Source organism: Homo sapiens, chromosome 1 (assembly GCF_000001405.40).
Source record: "Homo sapiens chromosome 1, GRCh38.p14 Primary Assembly".
Taxonomy (NCBI): Eukaryota; Metazoa; Chordata; class Mammalia; order Primates; family Hominidae; genus Homo; species Homo sapiens.
Window position 1 is genome coordinate 181,856,209 of NC_000001.11, and position 23,966 is coordinate 181,880,174.

Sequence of the window (23,966 nt, forward strand, 5' to 3'; positions counted from 1 at the left end):
TAATCAATGAAAAGTCCTGGGATGCCTGCAAAAGTGCTTTCAGAAATATTGAATATTATCTAAATCATGATCAGGGCCAATGGCTGCCTGTGTGGCTGAAAGTTTCCCTATAGGACTCACAGAATATTTCCATACCTCCAATCCAACAGAATTTGGTTTCTTAAACATTGCTCCAGAAGAATCCCACAGATAACAAGCATCATTTGTGACATTAGCTTCCTCTCTGATGATTATGATGAGGTCAAATGTCCTATGTTAGTCTGGAGCCATGGGTATTGTCTATTTGTTTATTTTTCATGTATGAATGTGTGCCTAAATCTAAGTGTGATATCAACTTCCTTAAGATTTTTTTGCATATCTAAATCTGCACATGTTCCTATACACAAAAACATGATCATACTGTAGCACACTGAGGACAAAAACAGCACAGTTTTACTACTATTCATGTGGACATAGGCAAGTCGCTTAATTTTTCAGAACACTGTTTAACTGTACTCTAAAATGCATGAGTGAACTAAATGTCTACAATCCAATCTCATTAACTTCCATTATTTTTAACTTCTATATAAAGAAAAAACAAATAGAAAAATATATTAATATTCTACCTAAGATTTTATTGTCCCGTTTAAACATTTAGTTTTAAACAAGCATATTTGATTTATTAGAGCCCGTAAACAAATGAAACTTTGTTCAAATTTCCCCCAAGTACTCTTGAATTGCTACAAGTATTCATGAACTCAAAAGAACCCGTGGGTATAAGGGCAAACTATTACACCATTGAATGACAGAGCTGATGGACTGATCTTGTTAGCTAGACAATCCAGGATGACATTTGCTGTAATCCAGGATTTGACCAAACTAAATGTGTATCTTTGCCCTACACATTGGAAAATGGCTGTTTACATTATAATCCTGTGTGAGGCCACATCCATCTAACTTTGAGTCATCTTAATCTTTCAAATATCTTTCTTTAGTCAAGTAAGTACCATAAGTAACCATATGATCCTCAGAGCAAATACTTAGGCCTTGTCAATTATCCCTTAACATATCCATAAGAAAAGAATGTTCAGTCAGGAGGCAGGGCTGTAGTGTGGAAATAAAGTCATACTAGGAACAGAAAAACTAAATTTGAGCCCCGGTTTCCATTCAATCTAACATTTATTGAGTAACCAGTATGTGCAAAAATGTTGGGTTAGATTCTGGAGATACAATGGCAAATAAGACAAAAATAGCTTACTAATTCATTGGGGGAGATAAGCACTAAACATGTAATTGCAGATATAAGCATTTCCAAGAGGGATATGAAAGATACTATGGGGGCATAGATGAAGGGACTTTTACTTACTGAGAGTTAAGTGAAGATGAGAAAGTTAAGTGACAGTTATCCAGGGAAAGGTAAAGGAAAAGTAATCCAAACAGTAGGAAACACGTGTGGTGAAGTTTTAGCGGCAAAAGAGAACATCACACATGAGGAATTAAAGGAAGTTCAGATGAGTTAGATCATAGAGAACAGGAGGAAAATATCCTGAGACAAAGAAGAGGAGGTACACAGGAGCAGAATATGGAAGACCCTGAGATAACATCCAACAGCTATGATCTTGGGAAGACCTCCTTGGGCCATCATAGTACAGGATACTGGAGTGGGTGAACTGTAAGAACCCTTCCAATTCTGAGGTTGAAAGAATGTATGACATTCAATTATTCCATGTTCCAGAAGCCCACAATTTAAATTTGGGGGTTGAGAGAAATGTAGCTAGAGGTACACTACAGGGTATAGTTTAGGGTAAAGTATAGCCTGATGTCTCAAGCAATTTTTCCCTATTCCATGAATTTTAGGGATGTCTCTGTGTGTTGTCATGGAAACAAAGCACAAGGATTCCAAATTTTCCTGCTGTGTGATATAGCCATTGAGTGGAGGTTCTGAGTACGAGGTCTTTGGTCCTGCTTTGGGTCCTCTGCTGACTCACACCAAACCTGGGATGTTTATTACTCTCTAACTTATCACCTCCTTTCAAAACTATCATGGAGATACTGAAAACACTTTTCCTAGGATAGTCATGATGATTACATCATACAAAATGTTCTTAGTATTTGGAATGAAAGGTATGGTAATTAATTCCGGTTAGCCCAGCCAGGAAAGTCACCTGAATTTCCGTGGAATGACATTTCCTGATATTGTTATGTGCTAGGTGCAAAAATTTGGCCCAGGACAAAGTTCCAGTAGGCAGATTCACAGCTGGTAAGCAACTGTTGCTAAGACTGCATGCCTTGTGAAACAGAAAATGTTTTTCTTGTTCTGCGATGTTTCAAACACCCTGACAGTGTTGGGGCCATAAAGATGCTCAAGAAATATTGATAGAATATGAAAATGAATCAAAGTGTCTATTGGTATGGTTTAGGTTTACTCAACCCACCTAGACAGACATGCAGCAGGAACCCATGTAAATCATAAAGGATATGAACACACATTTCCAGAACTGGTCCAGCCTCCTTTCTATTTATGCATTCTGACTTGCTTTGTGTAACTCTGGACTTCCTTGGTTTTGCTACCTTAGTCTGGCTTTGTTATTGAATGTCACATTTCCTATAACCCCCCCACCCCCAGCTCTTGACAATTTATTTTAGGCTCACTATTCCAGCTAACCGGCATCTCACTTTGTACCAAGTGCTAATATTTAATCATTTAAATAACAGACATCATGACAGAAACTTTTAATTCTCCTAGTCATACAGAACAAGCCATTTGTGAATACAAGGGTCACATGTCACTTGAAAGCCCTTTTTTTGCATAATGGCAGAAGGTGTTTCCTTTAACTTCAAGTCACTTAACCTAGTGCTTTCCCTTGGAGAAACACAGAATAAGTCTGTTCCTTTAACATGACAGTCATTTAAATAGTGAAGATTAGGGATTACTTTCTATCTCAAGCTCTTTCCTAGAAATTCTTTCAACTACCATGTAGGGTACAGTTTTGAAATAATCTACCTTCCTGATAAATTTAGTATATAAACCAAAAACTACATGATAAAAAAAGCACCATAACTGAAGTCAAAAGAGAAAAGCCAAGAGAAAATATTTGCAACATATATCAGAGATAAAAGCTAATATCCCTAATATGTAAATGTCTCATAAAAATTAAGAGGAGAGACTAGAATCCTGATATAAAGGTAGGCAAGGCATGAATAGGCAACTCACAAAAACATACAAAATGACCCTCACGCATATGAAAAAATGTTCACTCATTAGATTTTATGCAAATTAATTTAATACTAATTATATTACACTGACATACCATTTCTCATTTATCAGAAAGGTGAAAACTACAACAAAAGGCATTTCGTTGGTGATGCCATGTGGAAATGGCTCCCTCTTACATTGATGGTGGGAATATAAATTAGTACAATTCTTTTGGAGGAGAATTTGGCAATACATAATTTAAAATATATATATGCAGTTACCTCTTGGCCCAGCAAAATAGTCGAAGCAATTGTGAGAAGTAGTTTTAAGAATTTACCCTAAAAATATAACCTCAGCAATATGAAAATACACATGTACAATATTACTTATGGCAGCATTGTTTGTAATTGTTCAGTATTTGAAATAACTTAAAGAATAAAATATAGCAAAGTGATGAATAAACTATGGTACATCCACACAGTGCAATACTATACAGCTGTAAAAAGAATGAGTTATCTATGAACTGATAAAGAGTAATTGTTAGCATAGAATGTTAGTTGAATAGAAGCAACCTACACAAAAGTGCCAGTAGTAAGCTACTTTGAGTATAAGAAAGGAGGAATAAGAAAATACACGGCCGGGCGCGGTGGCTCACGCCTGTAATCCCAGCACTTTGGGAGGCCGAGGCGGGCGGATCACGAGGTCAGGAGATCGAGACCATCCCGGCTAAAACGGTGAAACCCCGTCTCTACTAAAAATACAAAAAAATTAGCCGGGCGTAGTGGCGGGCGCCTGTAGTCCCAGCTACTTGGGAGGCTGAGGCAGGAGAATGGCGTGAACCCGGGAGGCGGAGCTTGCAGTGAGCCGAGATCCCGCCACTGCACTCCAGCCTGGGCGACAGAGCGAGACTCCGTCTCAAAAAAAAAAAAAAAAAAAAAAAAAAAAAAAGAAAATACACATTACTTTGTTCATTTGTGAAAAAATGAAACAGAAAAGGCAAACCAGAAACTAATAAGAGTGTTTACCTACAGACTGTGGGTAGAAACCAGGTGAAAAAGAAGGGGAATGGAGTATAAGGGACTGGGGGAGTGACACTTCTCTAGTAAAAAAATAAATAAATAAATAAATATATATATGACTTTTAGAACTATGGTAATTTCTCACAGACTTGGAGTAAATATAATAATTAACAAAGTGGGGAAGGAGACCTCAAATAGGATATAACAGAAAAGAATGAGCCACACTCCATTACAAATACAGTCATGTGTCACCTAACAATGGGGATATGCTCTGAGAAATGGTAATGTTGTCTTTGCATGAACATCATAGAGTGTACTTACACACACCCAGATGGTATAGCCTACCGAACATATATAAACACAGGAAAGACACAGTAAGAATATGGTATTATAACCTTATGGGATCACTGATGTGTATGTGGTTCATTGTTGACTGAAATATCATATTGTGGTGTGTGACTGTAATATAACCACACTGAAGGGGTGGTGCCTGTAGCTAACTAACCAATTAACTTTAAAAAACATCATTTTGACTATAAATTTTTAAGGTCAAAGACAAAAGAAAAACTGTGCACAAATATTGTACTTTAGTTAGGTTTGTTTTCCACAGGCTTACGTATCCTGAAACTACTTTGCATGTATTCTATGAATCAGCCTATGATATTAATAATAATAATAGGTTGGTTTTTGTTAGGGAAGGGCATTGTGAATAAGAAAAGGGGAAGGCTAGAAAAAACCTTGTCTGGAGTTATCAGTACTAGCTCAAGGTTTGAAAATGCATCTAGATAGAGAAATAGCTATAGGAATATGTGTGTGTGTATATATTCATACATGTATTTCATAGGCCTGTCTTCTGAGGACTAGGAGCAATTATACCTACATATCAGTGAATGAACCTAACACTTATTCTCTAGAAAAAAGGAATGCTTTCAATAAAATATCATTTGTCAGTAAAAGAAGCCGGGACTCCTTGAAGAAAAGGCACACTCCAGGGCTAGGACAGGGAAAGTATAAGATAAGCCTCCACCATCTTGGGGTGCCAGAGATCTAAAAGCACTCAATGAATGATAGGGCCATATCAAAAGGACACTGGAGCTAATTGAATGAGCTCCTGGTGATCAGAAAAATTGGAGCAACAAAATGAATAATGGTGATGAATTATTACTCATAGAATAAAAAGAATCTGTGAGTCCATGCTTATATAAATAAATAATAAATGGTAAAGAAAGAAAAACACTTTTTTTATGAGACTCCAATTAATAAATGTAGAAGGAATGCTGAAAAGAGAAGTTCACCATTCATCAAATACCTCAGTAACAGGTATTTAGGCAAGAATCATCAATAGAAACTATAATTAGACAAAATATGATGAGAAAAAAAGGTATTTACATAGTCTCAAAGTATCTTACCATAAGATACTTATTTAAAAGGGGAAATACAGTGGAAGAGCTTGGCAGACACCGTGTTGACCAACTGTCAAGGATAATGTCACCAGCAATGAGACAAGTCAACATTGTGTGCCTCCTGATATGATACACTGAGGAGGACATGATATCGCTTCTGTTGAATTCTTGAAAAAAAATGACTTTTCTGAATCCAATCATGAGGAAACATCATATAAATTGAGGAATATTGCATAATATTTTGAACAGTATTCTTGAAAAATGTTAAAGTAAAACAAGAAAGATCAAGGAACTGTTTCAGATTAAAGAAGACTAAAGAGACAAGACAACCACTAAATGCACTGTGTGATCTCAGATTGGATCCTGGATCAGGAAAATGAGATAGGATAATTGGCAACATTTGAACAAGGTCTGGTAAATACATAATAAAATCGTATCGATGTTAATTTCCTGATTTTGATAACTGTACCATATACAATAGGCTGAATTTGCATCTTCCTAAAATTCCTATGTTAAAGTCCCCCAGTACCTCAGAATGTGACTATTTGGAGATAGAGCCTTTAAAGAGGTAATTAAGATAAAGTGAGATTCTATGGGTGGGCCCCTATGCCATGTGATTGGTATGCTTATAGGAAGATATTAGGGCACAGAAAACACAGACTAAGGGGTGACCATGTGAGGACACAGTGAGAAAGTAGCCATCTTCAAGCCAACGAGACAGGCATCAAATGAAACCAAACCTGCCAACACCTTGATCTAGGACTTCCAGCCTCCAGAACTTTGAGAAAATAAATTTCTGTTTTTTAAGCCACCCAGTCTGTGGCATTTTGTTATGGCAGCCCTAGCAGACTAATACAACATACAATGGAATATTGTTTAGTCTTAAAAATGAAGGAAATTCTGACAACATGCTAAAATATAAACTTTGAGGACATTACATTAAGTAAAATAAACCACTTATGACAGGCAAATGACTCCACTTACATGAGATACTTAAAGTAGTCAAACTCATAGAGCCAGAGAGTAGAATGGTGGTTTCTAGGGGCTGAGAGGAGACAATGAGGAATTACTGTTTAATTCGTATAGAGTCTCGGTTTGAGAAGATGAAAAAATGTTCTGGAGATAGATGGTGGTGGTTGTACAACAATGTAAATATACTTAACGCCACTGAACTATTCACTAAAAAAATAGTTAAATGGTAAATTTTATATTAAGTATTTTGTCCACAATTTAAAAATAAAATTTAAGAAAAAACAAGGAGGAAATTTGGATACAGAGATGAAAGACACAGAGAAGACACCATGTGACAACAGAGGCAGAGACTAGAATGATGCAGTCCAGGAATGCCAAGCAAGGACTGTTAACAGCCACCAGCAGCTGGGGAGAGGCAAGAAGGGATTCTCCTTTAGAGCCCTAGGGGAACACAGCCCAGCTGACAGCTTGATTTCAGACATCTAGCCTCCAGAACTGTAAAAATAAATTTTTGTTGTTTTAAGCCAAGAAAAAAACGAACTCACGAGCCTTAGAGCCCCAATCTGAAGCTTCTGTGAAACATTACACAAAGCGATATATCTAGCCAGCTTGGAATGGATTCAGGAGGGTGAAGTATCATTATTTCACATGGATTAAGTGCTTGAAATGTGCAGGTCTGAAGTGTCTGTAAATGTACCTGCCCAAACAACAGCCAAGTCTCATTCTTTTCCTTGGGGGAAGCTACTTGTCTTCGTAAATCACTGTCTAAGTGGGGCATCACCAGGAAGAAAGAGTGAAGCAGATAAACTTTATCTCCTGTGATCCTAAGCCCAGTTTGCTCACTCTCACTTTCCACCAGAGCAGCAATGGTGGTGGGAAAATTGTGAAGGAGTTAAGAGACTTGTTTTTATTTTTTGTGTTTATTTATTCATTTATTTTTTCACAGATAGTCAACCATTGAGTACTTTTTGCATAATCCAAGGAATATGTAAATTTGTTTAGTTGACAAATATTTGAGTGCTGGCCATGTGTAAAATGCTGGTATATGCACTGGAGATATGGTAGTGAACAAGACAATGTCCCTGTGGCTACCATGAAAATGCACCTCTCAGATCTCCTATTTCAGGGAATGTCACTGACACCCCTAGCTGTTGTGTTCTGAAATCTGTCACAATATTCCTGCCAAGGCTACACTTCCCATAATCTGCTTCCAGCTGTTAACTGAACATGGCTGAGGTACTAGGATAGGCCAGGTCCTGAAAGACGTAGGCTTCCTATAATGAATGACTTTGGCTTAGGGACTCCTTGGCCTTCCAGAAACTTTCTTAAAATTATACTGCAATCCATGGTCTGTCTTTCTTACTTTCCCTCCTTCACAAGAGTCAGAACTCCAGTATAGTCTAACCTGTTTTCCAGCTTTCTCTGGTTTCTTCCCCATATTCCCTTACTGGTGTTTCCCCCAGTATGTCTATTGTGTCTTGTATTAGGCCATTTTTGTGTTGATATAAAGAAATACCTGAGGCTGGGTAATTTATAAAGAGAAGATTTTTAATTGGCCCAAGGTTTTGTAGGCTTTATAGGCATGGCTCTAGCATCTTTTCTTCAGTGAGGGCCTCAAGAAGCTTACAATCATGGGAGAAGGTAAAAAGGGAGCAGGCATCTCACATGGTGAGAGCAGGAGCAAGAGAAGTGGGGAGGTGCTACACACTTTTAAACAACCAGGTCTCATGAGAACTCACTCACTATCATGAAGACAGCACCAAGACATTCATGAGGGATCCACAGCCACACCCAAACATCTCCCACCAGGCCCTACCTCCAACATTGGAGATTACATTTCAACATGTGATTTGGAGGTAACAGACATCTAAACTATATCACATCTCTAACCCCATCTTGATGTCTGCTTCTTAGAGGGCCCTGACTAGCAGTCCCCAACTCTGTGCAGGAGGTGGCAAAGAGAGTGGTTAAGAGCACAGGCTCTGGAGTCAGACTGCCTGGTTTGAAGCCCTGCCCTGCCATTTACTAACAGGCTGTCTAATTTCTCCCTGCCTCCATTTCATCAGCAACTTTGCCTCAGTTTCATCATCTGTAAAATGAGGATAATAATAGTATATTAATCTCATAGCATTGTAGTTAGGATTAAACATGTTGTTATATTTAAATACCATGAGATTTACAAAACACTGCTGAAAGAAATCAGAGACAACACAAACAAATGGAAAAACATTCCATGCTTGTAGACAAGAAGAATCAGTATTGTTAAGATGGTCATACTGCCCAAAGCAATTTACAGATTCAATGCTATTCCTATTAAGCATAACAATGTCATTTTTTCACAGAATTTTAAAAAAACTACTCTAACATTCACATGGAACCAAAAAAGAGCCCGAATAGCCAAAGCAATCCTAAGCAAAATGAACAAAGCTGGAGGCATCACACTACCTGACTTCAAACTACACTACAAGTCTATAGTAACCAAAACAGCATAGTTCTGGTACAAAAACAGATACATAGAACAATGGAATAGGTTAGCAACCCCAGAAACAAAACCACACACTTAAAACCAACCATCTGATCTTCAACAAACTCAACAATAGCAAGCAATAGGGAAAAGACTCCCTATTCAATAAATGGTGCTGGGATAACTGTCTAGCTATATGCAGAAGATTGAAACTGGACTCCTTCCTTTCACCATATAAAAAAATCAACCCAAAATGAAGTAAAGACTTAAATGTAAGACCTAAAACTATAAAAACATTAGAAGAAAACTTAGGAAATACCATTCTGGACATAGGCCTTGGCAAAGATTTCAAGAAGTCTCCAAAAGCAATTGCAACAACAAAAAATTGACAAGTGAGTCATAATTAAAATGGAAGAGCTTCTGCATAGCAAAAGAAACAGAATAAAGAGAACCTATAGAATGGGAGAAATTATTCACAAACTATGCATCCAACAAAGGCCTAATATCTAGAATCTATAAAGAACTTAAACCAACAACCAAAAAACGACCCCATTAAAAAAAAAAAGACAAAGGATATGAAAAAACCCTTCTCAAAAGAAGATATACACATGGTCAATGAGCATGTGAAAAAATGCTCAACATCACTAATCACTAGATAAATTCAAGTCAAAACCATAATGAGATACCATCTCACACCAGTCAGACTGGCTATTATTAAAAGTTCAAAAAACTACAGATGTTGATGAGGCTTCAGAGAAAAGGGAATGTTTATACACTGCTATTGGAAATGTAAATTAGTTCAGCAACTGTGGAAAGCAGTTTGGAGAGTTCTCAAATAATTTAAAAAATAACTCTCATTTGACCCAGCAATCCCATTACTTGGTATATACCCAAAGGAATATAAACCGTTCTAGCAAAAAGACATATGCACATGTATGTTCATCACAACACTATCCACAATAGCAAATACATGGAATCAACTTAAATGCCCACCAACAATGGACTGGATAAAGAAAATGTGGTATGTATACACCATGGAATACTATACAGCCATAAAAAATAAAATCATGTTATTTGCAGCAACATGTATGCAGCTGAAGGCCGTTATCTTAAGCAAACTAACACAGGAACAGAAAACCAAATATCACATGTTCTCACTTATAAGTGGGAGCTAAACCTTGAGTGCATATGGACATAAAAATGGGAACAACAGACCCTGAGGCCTACTTTGAGTGAGGGGAGGGTAAAGATTTAAAAAAAAACAAACCTACCTATTGGATACTATGCTCACTACCTGGGTGATGAAATCATTTGTACACCAAACCCCAGCAACATGCAACTTACCCATGTAACAAACCTGCACGTGTACCCCCCAAACCTAAAATAAAAGCTGAGGAAAAAAATAATATGTAAAGTACTTAGAATGGTGCAAGGTTAGAAGGTCTATATAAACATCAGTTATTATAGAGCTTGTGTTTTAGTAAAGGAGATAGAGAAATATATAGAAAAAATACTAGGTGGTGAAAATACTAAGGTGAAAATCAGGAGAGTTATGTGATATGGTGACTAATGAACCATTTTAGATTTGGAAGCTAGGAAAGGTCAACAAGAAAGAATAACTAGAAGTTATTCCATATATTGCTGAGTTCAGTATAGCTAAACTTGACTGTGCTCCAGCTGATCTGAGATCTGGGGAAGAATTGTTTAGCCAAAGCTAACAGCTTGTGTAAAGACCTGAAAGCAAGAATGAGTGGTCATGACTCAGACAAAACAAGAGGAACAGGGAATCTAAAGGATGGTAACAGTGGAGGAGACAGGTGAGGAGTCCAGGGATTCAGGCAGAAACCAGACAGAAGAGTCTCATTCCTTTCTTCTTTCATTAATTCATTCAGTGTGTATTTGGCAGCCACCCAACTAAGTACCAAGAACTGATAATTCTAGCTCTGAACTTTCTAGTCACATATTAGAGGTAACTTGAAGTAGTCAAGTCCTAGACAAAACTCACACAGGAGGCAAAACATTCCTCTAAAGACCGCCTCCTTCTTTGTGTTTTTGCATAACTTGATTCAAGTTTTCTGTCCTTTGCACATTTCTACTTATAGACATACTTATGATGAACATAGGCTTGTTTTTTATTTAAGTTTACCTTATAGATACTTCAGTTTTTAAAAATTATATATGGTGCTTAATACATACAAAATAACTAGATTCATTTTAGTTATCAAAGTTCTGATAGCTTGAAAACAACAACAAACAACTCTGACTAGTAGAATTAGAAATTATTCCATATATTGCTGAGTTCAGCATAGCTTAACTTGACTGTGCTCCACTTGATCTGACCAGCAGTTAATGAATTCCTTTCATAAGGGGGTGGAGTTTGGTAACCCCTCTAGCAGTTTTATATAATAGTGTCTGAAACACCCACTTAGGGGTATTTTTTATTTTACCTTGTGTTGCAGTCTAATGTGAAGCCAGAGATTAATGTTTTGCAACTTCAAGGTCTTAAGCAAGCACTTAATTCTGCATAACATAGAGCTTTCTCTGAACAGGCATAGCCATATAATTCATCAGGGTCTAAGTGTCCTCATTTATAAAAAAAGGTCTAATAAACATTTAATATATATTACATAAACATTTAATTTAAATATTAGCCTGAATGAGTCACACCTTCTCCAATGGAATCCCCTGAATCTGGAATGTGGGACAATGAGGAGATTATGAAGCTCTTTTGGGGTACGCTTTTTACCCACAAATTCAGTCAAGGTGAAAAAAATCTCTAACTGTAATTTCAGATGGGGAAGTGACAGCTAAAGTGGTGAACTAGACAGAAAAACCACTAGGCTTTCATCTCAAATTAGAGCCTGAGGATAAGAATAGCTTTTGTAGCAATACTCACCTGGGCAAAATTACAAAGGACATTAGTTTCCAGGTCTCAAGCTGCAGTTGGCTATAGTGAGTCTTCCCTCAAGGGCTGCATACCTTCCTCTGATAAAATCTATGAACTCCCCCGGGAAGTCAGAGATTTCCTTGTTATATCTGCCTCTAATTGGGGTTCAGCCTCTTAGTCCATTTGTTGCCATGAAGGAATACCTGAGGCTGGGTGATTTGTAAAGAAAAAAGGCTTATTTGGATCATGGTTCTGCAGGCTGTACAAAGAGCATAATGTCAGTATCTGCTTCTGGTGTGGGCCTCAGGCTGCTTCCACTTATGGTGGAAGACAAAAGGGAGCTGGCTTGTGCAGAGAGCAGATGGTGAGAGAGGAGGCAAGAGAGATGGGAGGGGGGTGTCAGGATCTTTATAACAACTCTCTCTCATGAGAACTAATGGAGCAATAACTCATTCATTACTGTGAGGATGGCACCAAGACGTTCATGAGGAATCTGCCCCTATTACCCAAACACTTCCCATTAGGCTCACTTCTAATATTGAGTATTGAATTTCAACACGAGGTTTGGAGGGTCAAATATCAAAACTATAGCAGGACCTGTGCTATTTACTAACCCTGTGGCATCAGTTGTTCAGTCTGCAAAATACAGCAACATATAACCGACACCTATCTTCCTCAAAGAGTTATGGTGAGTTTTTACCATAACTATATGTGAGGGAGAAAAGCAGTAACTTAGAGAACAAAGTGGGCAATGAAAAAAGCACTTCCTGGGATCTTAGCATTGAAAGGGAAGGATATAAGACTGATTATTCTCTAGACTAAACAAAGGGCCATAGCAGCAGAAAGGAAATCGCTTCTAATATTGGATAATTGAGGAAGGAAAATAAAGCTTGCCTATATTGTGTTACTTGTTTGATTATGGAAATGAAAATATCATTTTTACTAAGGTGGTTCTTTACCTGAAGCAGTGGCTCTCAAGTTTGATCGCTCCTCAGAGTCATTTCGTTGAGCCCAATCCCACACTTACTGAGAATATCTGAGACCTCCACTTCTGGCTAAGATGGAATAACAGATCATGATACTCTCCCATTTAAAATAGCCAAAAATGGACAAAGTATATAAAACAATGTTCTACAGGGCACTTCACATAGAAAAAAAAGGAAGGACAATAATCTTGGAGACATGGGAAAAACATTAGGTAAGCATTGATTATCCCAAGCTTACTACCTGAGAAACCTGAGAAAGCTTCTAGGCTCTGGTGCAGAGTGGAGCCTAGTGGACTCCTTGAGCTGGAAGGAGAAAGCAGAGTCTGGTGAGATTAAGCTGGTAGAATTCTAAGGACAGAATACCAGAGAGAAAGAGCTACAAAGAGAGAGAATGAAAGTGTGAGCACTTTGGATATGTGCAAATATACCCCTTGAATATTCAACTGAATATTGAAAATGTATAAGAAAACTACCTAAGACTGGGTTGGGGGAACTGTCTAAAAGGACTAGAAGTGACAGCATCCAGCATCCACATAGGGCCAAAAATAGCACCTATTCTTAATACCCAGAATGGAAGACCTCAAGATTCAAAGGTCAATGTGTAGGTCAAACAGGTTGTTGCTTCAGTGGTATGGAATAATTAGTCCTATACTGATAACTGTTCCAATCCTGCCTAACAAAACTTAAAACCAGACAGAAAAAAATTAAACTGTTTCCAAGTAACTTAACTATATTCCAGAGTATATAAGCCCAAGAGTATTTATAGAAATACAAAAATACCCAGCAGTCAACAAGATAAAATTCACAATGTTTGGCATTCAACAACAAAAATAAATTACTGGCCATAAAAGGAAGCAAGAAAATATAACTCATAATGAGGAGATAAGCCAAGTAATTGAAAATAACCCAGAATTGACACAGATGCTAGAGTTAGCAGACAAGGACATGGAACCACCAGTTATTATGGCTGTACTCTATATAAGTCAAAAAGTAACTAGAGATATTTCTATGAAAAAAGCTTAAAGAAAACTTCTAGAGAAGAAAATGACAATGTTTAACATAAAAACACACTAGTTGGAAATAGCAGATTAGAGATGGCAAAAGAAAAGATCAGTAAACTATAAAGACAGAGCAACAAAAACTATTCAAAATGAAACACACAGGAAAAAAAGAATTAAAAATAAAACAGCAGTGAGCTATGGGATACCTTCAAGCAGCTTAATATTTTTAAAACTAGAATACCCAGACAGAGAGACAGAGACAGAGACAGAGACAGAGAGGGAGGAGTGGTGAGAAAAAAATGTTATAATAAATATTTACAGAACAAAATGACTGAAATGTTCCCAAATTTGAGAAATACAATAAGACACAGATCCAAGGAAGTCAACAAAACCCAAGCACAAAAAATTAAAGAAAATTACACCACATTGAATAAGAAACCTGCTCAAAACCAATGATAGAGAATCCTAAAGGCAACCAGAGGAATAAAAGACATTAATGGCTGAGGAACAAAGATAAAAAAGAAAACAAGCCAGGCATGGTGGCTCAAGCCAGTAATCCCAGCACTTTGGGAGGCCGAGGCGGGTGGATCACAAGGTCAGGAGATCAAGACCATCCTGGCTAATGTGGTGAAACCCCATCTCTACTAAAAATACAAAAAAATTAGCCAGGCGTGGTGGCAGGCGCCTGTAGTCCCAGCTACTCTGGAGGCTGAGGCAGGAGAATGGCGTGAACCCAGGAGGCAGAGCTCACAGTGAGCCAAGATCGCACCACTGCACTCCAGCCTAGGCGACAGAGCAAGACTCCATCTTAAAAAAAAAAAAAAGAAAACAGACATCTTATTGGAAACAATGCAAGTTGAGAAGACAGTGATGTCACACTTCAAAATACTAAAAAAAAACACTATCAACCTAGAATTTTATAATCAGTGAAAATAGCTTTCAAAAATTAAGGCTAAATATTTTTTCACACTAAAAGAATGTTACAGCTTTTCTTTTACAGCAGATTTGCACTATAATAAATGTTAAAAGAAGTCCTTCAGGCAGAAGGAAAGTAATACCAGATGGAAATACAGATCTGTAAAAAAGAATTAAGAACAATGGAAATTGTAACTACATAGGTAAATATATATATATTATTATTTAAGTCACTTTTAACAATAATTAGCTGCTTAGACACAAATGATACATTGTGATATTTAGTTTATTACAGTTTTAAACATCTGTAAAAGTAAAATAGATGACTAAAATAGCATAAAGTTCAGAAGGGAAGTAATACACTATCATAAATTTCTTCTATTATATATGAAGTGAAGGTAGACTCTGATAAGTTAAAGAAGTATATTATTTACCTTAAAACAAATACTAAAATAAAAAATAGATGTAGCTAATAATCCAAAAAATTAGATAAAATGAAATAATAAAATCTATTCAAATATTCCAAAAGGTGGCAAATATAGGGGGAAAAGGTGGGAGAAGGGGGATGCATAGGGAACAAATAGAGAACAAATAATATAATAGACCCAAACCTAACCATCTTAATAATCACATTAAATATAAGTGGTCAAAGTGCCCTAACTAGAAGGCAGAGATTATGACATTGGATAAAAAGTAAGACCCAACTGTATGCTGACTACAAGGAATATACTTCAAATATGAGGACACAAATAGCTTAAGAGTAAAATGATGGAAAAAGATTACCACACTCACACTAATCAAAAGAAGGTCAGAGGGACTTGACCTTCTTTTGATTAGTGTGAGTGTGATAATCATCTATCATCATGGCAGATGGGAAGTAGGACTAGATTGCAGCTCTGACTCAGATGGACAGAGCAGCATGTGGAGGTTCACATTGTGAATTTTAGCTCCTGAACAACTGCAAGAACAAACCAGGAATCCCAAGAGGACCCAAAGACCCTCTGAAGGAAGTGGATTGCTCCTGAATGACCTGGGAGACACCCCAAATACTGTGAGTGCCCAAACTGCAAAAGTGGGAAAGGGAGATCCTTCACTCTCAAGTGTACATCCCCACTATGGAAACTGAAGGTGTAGTTTGTGGGAGAAGTTTCTGACCTTATCTGGAGCTGAGTCAACTTAGAATGCTGAGAAAAATACAGTGGCAGAGGAAGCAGTGGGAAAGGCCCTGGGAACTCTCGCAGGGTCCCCAAGCAGGCCATTCCTTCCTGGCACCACAAGGATCCTTCAGGAGGGTGGCCAGAGGCATGGGGAAAATGATACAGGGAGGAAGAAGTCTCCAGCTGAACTTTGTAACAATTTGAATGGGGCAAGAAGCCTCCTGGCCAGAACTCAGGGAGGGCATGAATCCAACATGCAGACTCCATAGGTGGGGGAAGAACCAAAGCCCTTTTCTTTTGCAGCTGAGAGGTAGGTAGCCTGGGGCAAGTTCTCAAGCCCTACTTGCCCACTGCCTAGAAACATACTTGATGCTGTTGGGGGTGGGGGGGCACAGTGGGAGTGGGACCAGCCCTTTGGACTGCGTGAGAGCTGGGTGATGGCTGTGATTGCCAGCTTTCCCCCACTTCCCTAACAACCTGCATGACTCAGCAGAGGCAGTCACAGTCCTCCTAGGTACACAACTCCATTGGCCTGGGAACCTCACCCCCACCCCCCACAGCAGCCACAGCAAGTCCCACCCAAGGAGAGTCTGAGCTCAGACGCACCTATCCCTGCCCTCACCTGATAGCCCTTCCCTACTCACCCTGGTAGCTGAAGACAAAAGGCAATGCACTTGGGAGTTCTAGGGCCCTGCCCACCACCAGTTCTTCTCCATACGATTATAGGTGATGCTCTCTGGAAAGTGCCACCTTTTGGCATGAGGCCAACCAGCACAAAAACAGAACATTAAACCACCAAAGCTAAGAATGCTCACAGAGTCCATTTCACCTCCCTGCCACCTCCACTGGAACAGGTGCTGATATCCATGGCTGAGAGATCCATAGATGGTTCACATCACAGGATTTTGTGCAGAAAACCCCCAGTACAAGCTCAGAGCCTGGTAGACTTGGTGGGTGGCTAGAGAGATAACAGAAGAGAGGTAACAATCACTGCAGCTTGGCTCTCAAGAAGCCACATCCATAGGAAAAGGGGGAGAGTACTATATCAAGGGAACACCCCAAGGGACAAAAGAATCTGAACAGTCTTCAGCCATAGACCTTCCCTTGGACAGAGACTATCCAAATGAGAAGGAACTAGAAAACAAACTCTGGTGATATGACAAAACAAGGCTCTTTAACATTCCCCCTCCTCAATCACACTAGCTCACCAGCAATGGATCCAAATCAAAAGAAATCTCTGATTTACCTGAAAAAGAATTGAGGAGGTTATTAAGCTAATCAGGGAGATACCAGAGAAAAGCAAAGCCCAATGCAAGGAAATCCAAAAAACAATACAAGAAGTGAAGGGAGAAATATTCAAGGAAATAGATAGCATAAAGAAAAAACAATCAAAACTTCAGGAAACATTGAACACACTTATAGAAATGCAAAATGCCCTCGTAAGTCTCAGTAATAGAATTGAACAAGTAGAAGAAAGAAATTCAGAGCTCAAAGAAAAGGTCTTCAAATTAACCCAATCCAATAAAGTCAAAGAAAAAAGAATAAGAAAATATGAACAAAGCCTCCAAGTCTGGGATTGTGTTAAACCACCAAACCTAAGAATAATCAGTGTTCCTGAGGAAGAAGTGATATCTAAAAGCTTGGAAAATGTATTTGGGGGAATAATTGAGGAAAACTTCCCCAGCCTTGCTAGAGACCTAGACACCCAAATACAAGAAACATGAAGATCACCTGGGAAATTCATCACAAAAGATCATCACCTAGGCACATAGTCATCAGGTTATCTAAAGTTAATTGAAGGAAAGAATCTTAAGAGCTGTGAGACAAAAGTACCAGGTAACCCATAAAGGAAAACCTATCAGATTAACAGCAGATTTCTCAGCAGAAACCCTACAAGCTAGAAGGGTTTGGGGCCCTATCTTCAGCCTACTCAAACAAAACAATTATCAGCCAAGAATTTTGTATCCAGCAAAACTAAGCATCATACATGAAGGAAAGATCCAGTCTTTTTCAGACAAACAAATGCTGAGAGAATTCTTGTAGCTACCATTACAAAAATTGCTAAAAGGAGCTCTAAATCATGAAACAAATCCTGGAAAGATATCAAAACAGAACATCTTTAAAGCATAAAGCACACAGGACCTATTAAACAAAAATACAATTTAAAAAGCAAAAACAAAAACCAAAAATATCAAGGTAAACAGGCAACAAACAGCATGATGATTGGAATGGATCCTCACATCTCAACACTAATATTTAATGTAAATGGCTTCAATGCTCCACTTAAAAGATACAGAACAGCAGAATGGATAAGAACTCACCAACCAACTATCTGCTGTCTTCAGGAAACTCACCTGACACATAAGGACTCACATAAATTTAATGGGGTGGAAAAAGGCATTTCATGCAAATGGACACCAGAAGCAAGCAGTGGTGGCTATGCTTATATCAGACAAACAAACTTTAATGCAACAGCAATTTAAAAAGACAAAGAGGGACATTATATAGTGATAAAAGTCCTTGTCCAACAGGAAAATATCACAATCTTAAACATATATACACCTAACACTGAAGCTCTCAAATTTATAAAACAATTACTAGTAGACCTAAGAAATGAGACAGACAGCAACACAATAATAGTGGGGGATTTCAATACTCCACTGACAGCACTAGACAGGTCATCAAGACAGAAAGTCAACAAAGAAACAATGGATTTAAACTACACTTGGAACGAATGGACTTAACAGATACCTACAGAACATTTCATCCAACAACCACAGAATACACATTCTATTCAACAGCACATGGAACTTTCTCCAAGACAGAACATAGGATAGGCCACAAAACAAGCCTCAATAAATTTAAGAAAATTGAAATTATATCAAGCATGCTCTCAGATGATAGTGGAATAAAACTGGAAATCAACTCCAAAAGGAACCCTCAAAACCATGCAAATACATGGAAATTAAATAACCTGCTCCTGAATGATCATTGGGCCAAAAACGAAATCAAGGTGGAAATTTAAAAATTCTTCAAACTAAATGACAATAATGAGAAAACCTATCAAAACCTCTGGGATACAGCAAAGATGGTGCTAAGAGGAAAGTTCATAGCCATAAACACCTACATCAAAAAGGCTGAAAGAGCAAAAATTGGCATTCTAAGGTCACAGCTCAAGGAACTAGAGAAACAAGAATAAACCAAACCAAAACCCAGCAGAAGAATGGAAATAACAAAGATCAGAGCGGAACTAAATAAAACTGAAACAAAAAAATACAAAATATAAATGAAACAAAAAGCTTGTTCTTTGAAGAGGTAAAAAAAAAATTGATACACCGTTAGTGAGATTAGCCAAGAAAAGAAGAGAGAAGATCCAAATAAGCTCAATTAGAAACAAAATGGGAGATATCACAACTGATACCACAGAATTACAAAAGATCATTCAAGGCTACCATGAACACCTTTACATGCATAAACTAGAAAACCTAGAGATGAATAAATTCCTGGAAATATACAACCCTCCTGGCTTAAATCAGGAAGAAATAGATACTCTGAACAGACCAATAGTAAGCAGTGGGATTGAAATGGTCATTTAAAAATTACCAACAAATAAAAGTCCACGTCCAGATAGATTCACAGCAGAATTCTACCAGACATTCAAATAATAATTGGTACCAATCTTTTGACACTATTCCACAAGGTAGAGAAAGAGGGAACCCTCCCTAATTCATTCTATGAAGCCAGCATCACCCTAATACCCAAACGAGGAAAGAACATAACCAAAAAAGAAAACTGCAGACCAATATCCCTGATGAACATAGATGTTGAAATCCTTAACAAAATACTAGCTAACTGAATCCAACAGCATATCAAAAAGATAATCCACCATGATCAAGTGGGTTTCATACCAGGGATGCAGGAATGCTTTCAAATATGTAAATCAATAAATGTGATATACAACATAAACAGAATTAAAAACAAAAAAACACACACATGATTATATCAATAAATGTAGAAAAAGCATTCAAAAAAATCCAGCATCGTTTTATTATTAAAACTCTCAGCAAAATCAACATACAATGGACATACCTCAATGAAATAAAAGCCATCTATGACAAACCACACAGCCAACATAATACTGAATGGGGAAAAGTTGAAGGCATTCCCTCTGAGAACTGGAACGAGAAAAGGATACCCACTCTCACCACTCCTCCTCAACATAGTACTAGAAGCCCTAGTCAGAGCAATCAGAGAAGAGAAAGAAATAAAGGGCATCCAAGTTGGTAAAGAGGAAGTCAAACTGTCCCTCCCTGTTTGCTGATGATATGATCGTTTACCTTAAAAACCCTAAAGACTCCTCAAGAAAGCTCCTAGAACTGATACGTGAATTCAGCAAAGTTTCCGGGTACAAGGTTAATGTACACAAATCAGTAGCTCTTCCATATGCCAACAGTGGCCAAGTAGAGAATCAAATCAAGAACTCAACCCCTTTCACAACAGTTTCAAAAATAATAAAATACCTAGGAATATACCTAACCAAGGAGGTGAAAGACCTCTACAAGGAAAACTACAAAACACTGCTGAAGGAAATCATAGATGACAGAAACAAATGGAAATACATCCCATGCTCATGGATGGGTAGAATCAGTATTGTGAAAATGATCATACTGCCAAAAGCAATGTGCAAATTCAACCCAATCCCCATCAAAATACCACTACCATTCTTTACAGAATAGGAAAAAACAATTCTAAAATTCATATGGAACCAAAAAAGAGCCCACATAGCCAAAGCAAGACTAAGCAAAAAGAAAAAATCTGAAGGCATAACACCACCTGATTTCAAACTATACTATAAGGCCATAGTCACCAAAACAGCATGACCCTGGTATAAAAATAGGCACATAGACCAACGGAACAGAATAGAGAACCCAGAAATAAAGGCAAATACTTACAGCCAACTGGTCTTTGACAAAGCAAACAAAAACATAAAGTGGGGAAAGGACAGCCTTTTTAACAAATGGTGCTGGGATAATTGGCTAGCCACATGTAGGAGAATGAAATTGAATCCTCATCTCTCACCTTACACAAAAATCAATTCAAGATGGATCAAGGACTTAAATCTAAGACCTGAAACTATAAAAATTCTAGAATATAGCATTGGAAAAACCCTTCTAGGCATTGGCTTAGGCAAGGATTTCATGATTAAGAACCCAAAAGCAAATGCAATAAAAACAAAGATAAATAGCTGGGACTTAATTAAACTAAAGAGCTTTTGCACTGCAAAAGGAACAGCCAGCAGAGTAAACAGACAACGCACAGAGTGGGAGAAAATCTTCACAATCTATACATCTGACAAAGGACTAATATCCAGAATCTACAAGAAACTCAAATTAGTAACAAAAAACAAACAATCCCACTGAAAAGTGGGCTAAGGGCATGAATAGACAAGTCTCAAAAGAAGACATACAAATGGTCAACAAACATGAAAAAATGCTCAACATCACTAATAATCAGGGAAGCGCAAATCAAAACCACAATGCGATACCACTTTACTCCTGCAAGAATGGCCAAAATAAAAAAATCAAAAAATGGTAGATGTTGGCGTTAATGCAGTGATCAAGGAACACTTCTACACTGCTAGTGTGAATGTAAACTAGTGCAAACACCGTGGAAAAGAGTGTGGAGATTCCTTAAAGAGCTAAAAGTAGAACTACCATTTGATCCAGCAATCCCACTACTGGGTATCTGTTTAGAGGAAAATAAGTCATTATACAAAAAAGGTACTTGCACATGCATGCTTATAGCAGCACAATTAGCAATTGCAAAATCATGGAACCAACCCAAATGCCAAGCAATCAATGAGTGGATGAAGAAACTGTAGTATATATATATGATGGAATATTAACTCTGCCATAAAAAGAAATGAATTAACAGCATTCACAGTGACTTGAATGAGATTGGAGACTATTATTTTAAGTGAAGTAACTCAGGAATGGAAAACCAAACATTGTATGTTCTCACTGATATGTGGGAGCTAAGCTATGGGGATGCAAAAGCATAAGAATGATACAATGGACTTTGGAGACTTGGGGGAAATGGTAGGAGGAGGGTGAGGGATAAGACTACAAACAGGGTGCAGTGTGTACTGCTCGGATGATGGATGCACCAAAATCTCACAAACCACCACTAAATAACTTACTCATGTAATCAAACTCCACCTGTACCCCAGTAATCTATGGGAAAAAAAAATACAAGAAGGTTGGAGGGATTGTTTTAATATCATAACAAGAATATTAACAGAGATAAAGAAGATCACTTTTTAAATTTAAATTTTAAGTTCAGGGGTATATATGCAAGTTTCTTATATAGGTAAACTTGTGTCATGGGGGTTTGTTGTACGTATTATTTCATCACCCAAGTATTAAGCCTAACACCCATTACTTATGTTTTCTGATCCTCTCCCTCCTCCCACACTCCACCCTCAGGCCCAGTGTCTGTTGTTCCACTCTATGTGTCCATGTGTTTGTTGTTCCATTCTATGTGTCTATGTATTCTCATCATTTAGCTTCCACTTAAAGTGAAAACATGTGGTATTTGGTTTTCTGTTCCTGCATTAGTATGCTTAGAATAATGGCCTTCAGCTCCATCCATGTTGCTGAAAGGGACGTGATCTTGTTCTTTCTGGCAGCGCAGTGTTCCATGGTGTATATGTACCATATATGTACCATATTTTCTTTATCCCATCTACCATTGATGGGTATTTAGGTTGGTTCCATGTCTTTGCCATTGTCAATAGTGCTGCAATGAACATACACGTGCATGTGTCTTTATAATAGAATAATTTATATTCCTTTGGGTATATAACCAGTAATGGGATTACTGGGTAGAATGGAATTTCTGTTTTTAAATATTTGAGGAATCACCACACTGTCTTCAACAATGGTTGAATGAATTTACACTCCCACCAACAGGGTACACCATTCCTTTTTCTCTGCAACCTCACAGGCATCTGTCATTTTTTGACTTTTTAATAATAGCCATTCTTATAATCATATGAAGAAAAACTTTTCTTCATATGATTGTTAGCTATTCCTATTAAACTACCATTGACATTCTTCACAGAACTAAAAAAAAAATATTTTAAAATGTATATGGAACCAAAAAAGAGCTCAAATATCCAAGGAAATCCTAAGCAAAAAGAACAAAGCTAGAGGCATCATGTTTCCCAACTTCAAACTATACTACAGTGCTACAGTAAACAAAACAGCATGGTACTGGTACAAAAATAGACCCATAGACCAGAGGAACAGAATAGAGAATCCAGAAATAAGGCCACACACCTACAACTATCTGATCTTCAACAAACCTGACAAAAACAAGAAATGGGAAAAAAAATTCCCTATTCAATAAACGGTGCTGGGATAACTGGCTAGCCTTATGTAGAAGACTGAAACTAGACCCCTTCCCTATACCATATACAAAAATTAATTCAAGATGCATTAAGACTTAAATGTAAAACCCACAACTATAAATGCCCTCAAAGACAATCTAGGCAATACCTAGACATAACAATGGGCAAAGATTTCATGACAAAGACACCAAAGCAATCGCAACAAAAGGAAAAATGGGCATACAGGATCTAATTAAACTAAAGAGTTTCTGGACAGCATAGGAAACTAGCAACATAGTAAACAGACAACCTACAGAATGGGAGAAAAATGTTGTAAACTATACATCTGACAAAGGACTAATATCCACCATCTATAAGGAACTTAAATTTACAAGAAAAAAACATTAAAAAGTGGGAAAGGGTTGGAGGGAATGGCAGATAGGAGACAGGACTAACGGGCAGCTCCCACTCAGATGGACAGAGCAGCATGTGAAGACTCACATTGTGAACTTTTACTCCAATAACTACCACAGGAACATACTAGGAAAACTGAGAAAATCCACAGACCCTTTGAAGGAGGTGAGCTGCTGCTGTAGG